The 11,532-nt window shown below is 39.6% G+C and overlaps 1 pseudogene, besides 1 other annotated feature; it reads left to right on the top strand.

Moving 5' to 3' along the window:
* Positions 2,098–2,392: a silencer, noted in NCBI's record as "tiled region #9279; K562 Repressive non-DNase unmatched - State 24:Quies". NCBI's record gives its function as "represses a minimal TATA promoter and a strong SV40 promoter by Sharpr-MPRA in K562 cells {active_cell/tissue: K562}" and the evidence as "EXISTENCE:reporter gene assay evidence [ECO:0000049][PMID:27701403]".
* On the top strand, positions 7,175–9,674 carry SETP22 (SET pseudogene 22; annotated as a pseudogene).

The following is an 11,532-nucleotide window of genomic DNA, read 5'->3' as shown; positions in this document are numbered from 1 at the left end:
TAGCTGGGATTACAGGCGCCCATCACCACGCCTGGCTAATTTTTTGTATATTTAGTAGAGACAGGGTTTCACCATGTTGACCAGGCTGGTCTTGAACTTCTGACCTCAGGTGATCCACCTGCCTTGGCCTCCCAAAGTGCTGGGATTACAGGCGTGAGCCACCGTGCCCGGCTGAGAAACCACCACACTTCTAAAGCAAATCCAATCTTTCAAAGGTAGAATGTGACATATAAAGTGACAATGCAATTTCACAGGATGTTAAAAAACATTCTGAATCTCTGAACTTCTTGCCATTTATTGAAAGTTAATCACTTAAAGATTTCCAAATGCCCATTCAGTCAGGCACTGTGTTGAGTGCTCAAGTAAACAAGAATGCACCATTTTTTAATCTTGGCATCTCCCTAACCTGCCCCAGGAGAAGGCTGAGTCCTCCAAAGAGACACAGCAGCATGGTCAGAGTACTAACAGGTAAAAGGGAGAATCCACGGGTTATAAGAGTGTACTACTAGAGAAAATAGGGGAGCAAATACTTCCTACCAACAAGAGCTGTTGTAGGTCAAGAGGAAAGGGTATGTGTGTTTCTCCCAAGTCACAGGATCATGAAAGATACTTTAGAGCAATATTTCCAAGAGTGAGAACCACAGTGTACAAGGAGAGGATTCGTTGTAGGTAAGAGACACCATTCTATTAGTAGTTACCTTAGGCAGAAAGAAACTTAATTCAGGAAATTGTTGAATACCTAGAATAATAGGCTTTAGAATGGATTTTTAGGAATGAGTTTCAGAATAACATTGCTCAACTGGCAGGCTAAAGGAACTGTTGCCCTAGCTATAGGCAATGAGCTGGGAATCTCAAAGCTGCCATGGCAACTGCTGGCTTCATGATTGAACTGCCTTAAATCTGGGAATCAAGAAGCTGCCTCTGCAAGCATGCCTCTTCAGCTGTCCCAGAAACACTCCACCCTACTGTGAATCCAGGGACTAGAAGTTATTGCTGGAACTTTTGGCTCCAAAGTCATTCTGTATCTACTATATCTGGATAGCTAAACTGGTGCCTCATACCCCACTACCTCTTCTCCGACTACTTCTGGACTCAAATCTTACACTAGTGCAACTAATTGATGAAATCTAAATCCATTTGAAATCACAGTAGCAAAGGAATATGGAAAAGGTTTTTAGTTTCCTTAATTTGATATATCTTAATATGCTAATGTGTGATATCAATCTCCAAAAATGAAATATGGGGCACAGCAACTCCTGAATTTAATTGATCATCAGCCTCTGCCTTTAGCAAGCATCTTGCAGTACTGGAACCAGAACTCTGGCTCCCAGTTCCCAGCTCTGTACCCTACAGCTTATCTTCCTAGAAGAAAATATGTTGTTTCATATTCAGGCTTTTGCCATAGCTAACTTACTAGAATGTAGTCATGCTCATAAATTATATCTGATATGGAGTTACATTAAAAGATAATTTTGACTTTTAAATAAATTTATGGTTTAAAGATGACTTTATAACAATTATGTGTGCATTTGTAAATGGAGGAATAGAAAAATTATCAGAATAAAACACCCTCAGAAATATATACTGTATTTTTTTTTCTAAACACAGATCAAATAGTATGGACTGATGGTATTAGCATTTAAAATAATAATAACAGGAGGGAAACCACATCATCATTCTTGTTTGAATCCCTTCTCTTTGTGTAGGCCATTTACCCTCAAGGAAATTTCACAGAATGGCTCTGCACCCTGTGGACAACCATTCCTGGACACAGTGAAGTGTCATTAAGTTGACAGGGAGCCCATCAGCGCAGCACCTAATTACTTCCACAGGCAGGTTGCTCCAGCATGAAACAGGGCCCCAGGGGACAGTCTCACCTCCTTTGCCTCAAATTCCCTGAAGCATCTCTTTTCAAACATCAGTCAAGTGTGAGCCAAGTCCTTGGCCTTGCCAATGTAAAGGCAATTTCGTCCCTTGGGCAAAAATTGCCAACCTTAATGGGTTCCAGCTGTTGCATGGTTGAGTGCCCTCTCAGTCAGCCTACAGCCTGCCCTGGCATTTCAAAGGGCTCCTGCCAGGTCTGTGTCACCCCCACGCAAAAGGTGAAGCTGGCCTTTGAACCACGTGGCCTTGCCCTGTGGATGTGCATTACCTCCAAGGGAAAGGAAATGACTTCCTTCTGGCTGCGTGGCCTGGCCAGAGGCCTCAGGAGCTCAGATTACCTGGATCACTCGAGAGGCTGGCAGCGGAGAGCAGCCCGGATCAACATCATTAAGGCACGGGTTTCAGCAACACAAGCATTGCTCAGAGGACCCAAGGCAGAGCGAATTTTTTCCTCTGCAAATCTCTGTAGCTCTTGGGGACCTTTACACTCCAACATATTATGAGGTGAAAATCCTGTGGACATTTGGGCTGTACAGAGAAATGATCAGTATTTGGTATTCACAGTACAGATGTGTGTGTGGAGTGGGGCAGAGGAGGGAAGGCAAGAATCTAATCCAGTGTGCACATTATGTCTAGTTTATCACCAGGATTGCCTTGTTGTGATAACAGGGAGCCTGGCTCTCCCTGCTGGGGGAACATCAGTTGAACCAGCAGACTTTCCTCCCTCTGTGCTTAGCTGACATTTTAACCCTAGATCGCTAGAGAAATGGCAGCATTTATTAGAAACCAGATATTCAGATATTTTTATGCCCTACACAAAAAATCTTTGCCCCAATTTACTAAATTACTTTGTTTCTATATGAATAACATGTTTGTTATTATATAACATATATTATGTTATATCATAGACATATAACACATTCATATGTTATATAATATATATAGCATAGCCATATAATAACATGTATCTTAAGCCATCTAGTATAGGGGTCTCAAACTGTTAGCCCACAGGCCATGTTCTGCCTGCAGGAAGTTAGATTTGGCCTGCACAGTGCTTTCAAAAAGAAAAAACTGAGCCAACATCTAGAAATCAAGAGATGATACATTTTTGAAAATGGGGATATCAGAAATGTTTGTTTTAAACCAGAAGATCGCACAAGACTTCCCAGGAAGAAACTGAACTCCAGAATTGCTATTGCCTGTATGTTTGGGGGAATGACAGTGAGAAGGGGAGGAAAGTTCTCCAGGAACCAAGGCCCCAGCATGCCCTGTGACTCTCCTCCTGAGGCTGAGCAGCATTGGGCATTTATCACAGCACTGGAGCTGTAGATTTTTATGATGTGGAAATGTTTCCCCATGTCTCTGCCATAGATAGAAAGAAAAGTGGAAAAGATCACATTCCCTTTTTTATATGACTAAAAGCTCAGTGAAAGGATAAATGAAAGAGGCCATAGACAGAAGACAGCAAAGAAACTTCCAAAACCTTTGCACTGAGTGAATGGAAAAAATATCCCTGAGACTGAAACCACAAAGTGGCCTTCCTTTGGGTTTACAGAACAAATTCATATTTTCATTGAGAATTAATTTTAGAATGAACTCAGGCTAATGGAGGGCCCAAGCACCTTGCAGAAGAAATCGCTAATCCTCTCTGGGAATGAACTTTCACCTGGACCTGCCTTCTCAAACACACAGGGAATATTTACAAAAATTAATGTATTCTCAGCTATAGATAAAAGTCAACAAGTGTCAGAGAGCTGGCATTACACAGATTATATTCTATGACTACCAAGCAATTAAATGAGAAATTAATAACAGAATTAAAATATCCTGGAGATCAGGAGAAAGGTGGTGAATAGGAGACAGAGCTAACATGTACCTCCCACTTAGATGGACAGAACAGTGTGTGGAGACTCACACTGTAAACTTTTGCTCCAGGAACCATAGCAGGAATGTACCAGGAAAACTGAAAGAATTCACAGATCCTTTGAAAGAAGCAGTACATCACTGCAAATTCTGTAAGACAAGCAAAAAACTGTGAGTTCCTAAAGTGTGAAAGGGAAAATACCTGCCTCCAAATACATATCCCCACTGGTGAATCTGAAAATCCAGATCCTGGGAGAAGGATTTAACTTTACCTAGAGCTGAAACAGATTTAGGGAGCCACACAAAATAAAAAAGTAGAAGCAGCAGTGGGAAGAGCCCTGTAGGCACTTGTAGTCTCCAGCTCAAACCCAGGGAAGTCATCTCTGACTATATCTCACAATCGGCCTTGGGGAAGGCAGCCAGCAGAACTAGGGAGGGGTCACAGGGTGAAAGTAGCTTCCAATTGAAATTTGTAATAATTTCAACTGGGCACAAATTTTCTTGAACAGAATCTGGGGGGCAAACTGGGGGGCAAAACTGCTGTAGATATGAGCACAGGAGCCAACAACAATATTGTGGACAGACAGGGAAAGCTGTGCTTGCTTTCTCAGTGGGAAAGCTTACAGCCTGGGACAAGGTCTGAGCAGGGCATTAGAGGAGTAAGACCAGACTCACCAACTGCATGACAGCTGGGTGAGGCCTTTCACTACTGGCTATCCCCTACTTCCCTGGCAAACTATATGACACAGAAGAGGCAGCCATAATCCCCTCTGCAACACAACACCATTGGCCTGAGAACCACCCCCTATCCCACACAGCAGCCATGGCAATCCCCACCCAAGGACAGTCTAAGCCCAGACCCATGTAACCCTGCCCCAACCTGATATTTTTTCTCTACCAACCCTGGTAGCCGAACACAAAAGATAGAAACTCTTGGGAACTTTATGGCCCCACCCATCACCTGAGAAACCAGAATACTTACCCTGGCCAACTTAGGGCAAGCTTACATCTCCCTACTACTACCACAGCTGGTGTTGTCTTGAAAGTGCCACCGCCTGGCTGGAGGCAAACCAACTCAGGCCATTCCAGCAACACATGACATAATAACCCTGCTCACGGGAAGGAGAAAACAACAGCTAATTCCACCACTTGCAACATTCTGGCTAACTAGAGGTCCTGAGTCTGTCCATGTGACAATGTCACTACTAGCATAACCAGCATTTAAGAAAGTCAGCACACTAAACATATCTACAACCAAGGACTCTCACAGAGTCTAATTCACTCCCTTGACACATCCACCAGAGCAGGTGTTGGTATCCATGGCTGGGAGATATGAAGATGGATCACATCACAGGACTCTTTGCAGACATTCCCCAGCACCAGCCTGGAGCCTTGTAGCCCCACTGGGTGGCTAGATTCAGAAGAACAATGACAATTACTGCAGTCTGGCTCTCAGGAAGCTCCTTCCCTAATGGAAGTGGGAGTGCACTACATCAAGGGATCATCCCATAGCACAAAAGAATCTGAACAGCAGGCCTTGGGTTCCATATCTTTCCACTGAAATAGTCTACCTAAATGAGACAGAACCAGAAAACTAATTCCGATAATATAACAAAACGAGGTTTTATAACACTCACAAAAGATCACACTAGCTCCCTGGCAATGGATCTAAACCCAAAAGAAATCTCTGAATTGCCAGATAAGGAATTCAGAAGGTTGATTATCAAGTTACTCAAGGAGGCAGCAGAGAAAGTTGAAAACCAACTTAAAGAAATTTTAAAATCAAGATAGGGATGAAAAATTCTCCAGAGAAATAGATATCATAAAGAAAAACAATCAAACCTTCTGGAAACGAAAGACACACTTAGAGAAATACAAAATGCGCTGGAAAGTTTCAATAGATTAGAACAAGTAGAAGAAAGAAATTCAGAGTTTGAAGAAAAGGCTTTCAAATTATCCCAATCAGAGAAAGACAGAGAAAAAAGAATAAAAAAACAATAAATAACATCTCCAATAAATTTTGAATTGTGTTAAATGGCCAAACTGAATAATAATTGGCGTTCCTGAGGAAGAAGAGAAATCTAAAAGTTTGGAAGACTTAGTTGAGGAAATAATCAAGGAAAACTTCCCTGGTCTTGTGAGAGATCTAGACATCCAAATACGGGAAGCTCAAAGAACACTTGGGAAATTCATCACAAAAAGATCATCACCTAGGCACATAGTCATCAGGTTATCTAAAGTCAAGACAAAGGAAAGAATCTTAAGGGCCATGAGACAAAAGCATTGGGCAACCTATAAAGGAAAACCTATCAATCAGATTAACAGCAGATTTCTCAGCTGAAGCCTTACAAGCCAGAAAGGATCAAGGCCCTATCTTTAGCCTATCGAAACAAAATAATTGTCAACCAAGAATATTGAATTATCCAGCAAAACTAGGCTTCATTAATGAAGGAAAGGTAAAGTATTTTCAGACAAACAAATGCTGAGGGAATTCACCACCACCAAGCCAGCATTACAAGAAATGCTAAAAGGAGTTCTTGAAACAAAACTTCAAAATACCACAAAATAGGACCTCCTTAAAGCATAAATCTTACAGGGCTCATAAAAGAATAACACAGTGGGAAAAAAAGTATTTGGGCAACAACTAGCATGATGAATAGAACAGTACCTCACATCTCAATAATAATGTTGAATGTAAATGGTCTAAATGCTCCACTTAAAAGATACCGAATGGCAGAATGAATAAAAATTCACCAACCAAGTACCTGCTGCCTTTAAGAGACTCACCTGACACATAAGGACTTACATAAAGGTAAAGGGGTGGAAAAAGGTATTCCATGCAAATGGAAACCAAAAACGAGCAGGAGTGGCACTTTTTATATCAGACAAAACAGACTTTAAAGCAACAATAGTTAAAAAAAAAAAAAGACAAAGAGAAACATTATATAATGATAAAAGGATTAGTCCAACAGGAAAATATCACAATTCTAAATATATATGCACCTAACACTGCAGCTCCCAAATTTATGAAACAATTACTATTAGACATAAAAAATGAGATAGACAGCAATGCAATAATAGTGGGGGATTTCAATACTCCACTGACAGCACTAGACAGGTCATCAAGACAGAAAATCAACAAAGAAACAATGGATTTAATCTATACCCTATAATAAATGGGCTTAACAGTTCTGCCTGTTTCCAGATGAGCGAGGAGACTCATAGTCTTGTTCTTGGACTTCCCCAGCAGCATGGCCCCCAAACGCCAGTCTCCACTCCTGCCTCAAAAGAAGAAACCAAGACCACCTCCTGCTCTGGGACTGGAGGTTCTTGGACTTCCCTAGCAGCATGGCCTCCAAATGCCAGTCTCCACTCCTCCCTCAAAAGAAGAAACCAAGACCACTTCCTGCTCTGGGACCGGAGAAGACATCAGCCTCTGCAGGCTTGCCGAAGAAGGGAGAAAAAGAACAGCAAGAAACAATTGAACACATTCATGAAGTACAAAATGAAATGGACAGACTTAATGAACAAGCCAGTGAGGAGATTTGAAAGTAGAACAGAAATATAACAAACTCTGCCAACCATTTTTTTCAGAAGAGGTCAGAATTGATCTCCAAAATCCCAGATTTTTGGGTAACAATATTTGTCAATCATCCAGAAGTGTCTGCACTGCCTGGGGAGGAGGACGAAGAGGCACTGCATTATTTGACCAGAGTTGAAATGACAGACTTTGATGATATTAAATCAGGTTACAGAATAGATTTTTATTTTGATGAAAATCCTTACTTTGAAAATAACATTCTCGCCAAAGAATTTCATCTGAATGAGAGTGGTGATCCATCTTCAAAGTCCACCGAAATCAAATGGAAATATGGAAAGGATTTGATGAAACGTTCAAGTCAAACGCAGAATAAAGCTCACAGGAAGAGGCAGCATGAGGAACCAGAGAGCTTCTTTACCTGGTTTACTGACCATTCTGATGTTGGTGCTGATGAGTTAGGAGAGGTCATCAAAGATATTTGGCCAAATCCATTACAGTACTACTTGGTTCCTGATATGGATAATGAAGAAGGAGAAGGAGAAGAAGATGACGATGATGATGAAGAGGAGGAAGGATTAGAAGATATTGATGAAGAAGGGGATGAGGATGAAGGTGAAGAAGATGAAGATGAAGGGGAGAAAGGAGAGGAGGATGAAGGAGAAAATGACTAATAGAACACTGATGGATTCCAACCTTCCTTTTTTTAAAATTTTCTCCAGTCCCTGGGAGCAAGTTGCAGTCTTTTTTCCCCCCCTCTTGTGCTCATTCACCCTGTTCTTGAGGTCTCTGTTCTCTAAACCATGGCTCTCAACTTATTTTGGGGGAAATAACTTGAGCATAATACAATGGGAAAAGAGTCTCTACCCCTTTCTGTTCGAAATTCATTGTTATCCCTTCCTGTCTGAACAAAAACTGTATGGACTCGACACCACTGTGCTCTGTGGGAAAAAAAGAAAAACCTGTTCCCTTCGCACTGCTGGAAGCTGGAAGGTGCTAGGCCCTGTGTAGTAGTGCATAGAATTCTAGCTTTTTTCCTCTTTTCTCTGTATATTGGGCTCAAGAGAGTACACTGTGTCTCTATGTGAATATGGACAGTTGGCATTTACCAACATGTATCTGTCTGCTTTCTTTTGTTTAAAAAAAAAAGAATAAAAAACTTTAAAAAATGGGGTTATAGAAGGTCGGCAAAGGGTGGGTTTGAGATGTTTGGGTGGTTAAGTGGGCATTTTGACAACATGGCTTCTCCTTTGGCATGTTTAATTGTGATACTTGACAGACATCCTTGCAGTTTAAGATGATACTTTTAAAATAAATTCTCTCCTAATGATAACTTGAGCCCTGCCACTCAATGGGAGAATCAGAAGAACCTGTAGGATCTTATTTGGAATTGACATTCTCTATTGTAATTTTGTTCCTGTTCATTTTTAAATTTTCTTTTTATTTCACTGGAAAGGATAGATGATGCTCAGTTTTAAACGTTAAAAGTGTACAAATTGTTTTGTTACAATATTAAATGTGTACACAAAGGATTTGATGCTTTCCTCTCAGCCTAGGTATGCTTACTATAACCTTCCAAGTTTGACTTGTATAACATCACTGTCAAACTTTGTCACCCTAACTTCGTATTTTTTGATAAGCACTTTGCAGGATGACCTCAGGGCTATGTGGATTGAGTAATGGGATTTGAATCAATGTATTAATATCTCCATAGCTGAAAAATGTGGGTACAATTTGCCATTGGTTTCTGAAAGTATTCATATCATTTGGAATACCAGATTGCTCAATACTTTCTGAGTATATTGCGCCCTTGATTTTTATCTCCAAGTGGCAGTTTTTAAAATTAGCCTTTTACCAGGATATAAAATAATAGTGCCTGCCACCACTATCCAACATACCTGGTGCTCTAATGCCAAGTTATACATGAGACAGTTGCTGGCATGTCTTCATTGGCTATATAAAATGTGGCCAAGAATATAGGTTCTCAGAGTAAGAAGTCTGTGATGGTTAGCAGTAACTGTCCCTGCTCTCTGGTATAAAGCTCTCAAGTGTCATTATGTGAATCTGGGTGGGATAATGGACCCAGCTCTGTCTGCTCAATGCCATTGTGCAAAGAGGCACACCCTAATGCATAAGCTTTTTAATGCTGTAAAATATAGTAGCTGAAATTAAGTGCCACTTTTTCAGAGGTAAATTAATGGACAGTCTGGTGAAATTCAAAAGTTTTTTGATGTATAAGACTTGATAAATGGAACTATTCCATCAATAGGCAAAAGTGTAACAACCTATCTAGATGGATAGCATGTAATTTCTGCACAGGCCTATGTTTAATAAATACATCACTGTATACCGATCAGGAATCTTGCTCCAATGAAAGAACATAAAGATTAAAAAAATGTACTTAACAGATATTTACAGAACATTTTATCCAATAACTGAAGAACACACATTCTTTTCATCAGCACATGGAACATTCTCCAAGATAGACCATATGATAGATCACAAGACAAGTCTCAATAAATTTAAGAAAGTCAAAATTATATCAAGTATTTTCCCAAACCACAATGGAATAAAACTGGAAATTAACTCCAAAAGGAACCCAGAAAACTATATAAATACATGGAAATGAAATAATCTGCTCTTGAATGATCTTTGGGCCAACAATGAAATCAAGATGGAAATTTAAAAATTATTTGAACTGAACAATGTAACACAACTTATTGAAACCTATGGGATACAGCAAAAGTGGTGCCAAGAGGAAATTTCATAGCATTAAATGCCTACATGAAAATGTCTGAAAGAGCAAAAACAGACAATCTATCTCAAGGAACTAGAGAAGCAAGAACAAACCAAGCCCAAACCTAGCAGAAGAAAAGAAATAACTAAGATTAGAGTAGAACTAAATGAAATTGAAACAAAAAATACAAAAGATAAATGAAACAACAGGCTAGTTCTTTGAAAATATAAACAAAATTGATAGACCATTAGCAAGATTAACCAAGAAGAGAGAAGATCCAAACAAGCTCAGTTAGAAAAGAAATGGGAGATATTACAACCAATACCACAGAAACATAAAAGATCATTTCAAGCTACTATGAAAACCTTTATGTGCACAAACTAGAAAATCTACAGGAGGTGGACAAATTCCTGGAAATATACAACCCTCTTAGATTAAACGAGGAAGAAATAGAAACATTGAACAAAGCAGTAACAAGCAGTGAGATTGAAACAGTAATTTAAAAATTGCCAAGAAAAAAAAGTCCAGGGCCAGATGTATTCACAACTGAATTCTATCAGACATTCAAAGAGGAATTTGTACCAATCCTACTTAAACTATTCCAAAAGATAAGGAGGGAACCCTCCCTAAATCATTCCATGAAATCAGTATCACCCTAATACCAAAACTAGGAAAGAACGTAACAAAAAACAGAAAACTACAGACCAATATCCCTGATGAACATAGATGCAAAAATCCTCAACAAAATACTAGCTAACTGAATCCAACAGCATTTCCAAAAGATAATACTTCATGATCAAGATAATACATCATGATTAATTGATCATACATCAATTCATGCCAGGGATGCAGGGATGCAGGGATGGTTTAACATATGCAAGTCAATAAATGTGATACATCACATAAACATAATTAAAAACAATGATCATATGATCATCTCAATAGATGCAGAAAAGTCATTTGACAAAACCCAGCATCACTTTATTGTTAAAACCCTCAGCAAAATTGGTATAGAAGGGAAATACCTCAAGGTAATAAAAGCCATCTACGACAAACCCACAGCCAACATTATACTGAAAAGGGAAAAGTTAAAAGTATTCCCTCTGAGAACTGGAACAAGACAAGGATGCCCACTTTCACCACTTCTATTCAACATAGTGCTGGAAGTCCTAGCCAGAGCAAGCATATAAGAGAAAGAAATAAAGGGCATCCAAATCGCTAAAGAGGAAATCAAACTCTTGCTGTTCACCAATGATATGATTGTATACCTAGAAAACCCTAAAGACTCATCCACAAAGCTCCTAGATTTGATAAATGAATTCAGGAAAGTTTCATGATACAAGTAATCAATGTATTACACACAAATCAGTAGCACTGCTATACACCAACAATGACCCAGCTGATAATCGAATCAAGAACTAAATCCCTTTTACAACAGCTGCAAAAAAAATGAAATACTTAGAATATACATAACCAAGGAGGTAAAAGATCTCTACAAGGAAAACTACAA

Source organism: Homo sapiens, chromosome 5, assembly GCF_000001405.40.
Source record: "Homo sapiens chromosome 5, GRCh38.p14 Primary Assembly".
Lineage (NCBI taxonomy): Eukaryota > Metazoa > Chordata > Mammalia > Primates > Hominidae > Homo > Homo sapiens.
This window is presented reverse-complemented; position numbering and strand designations above follow the sequence as displayed.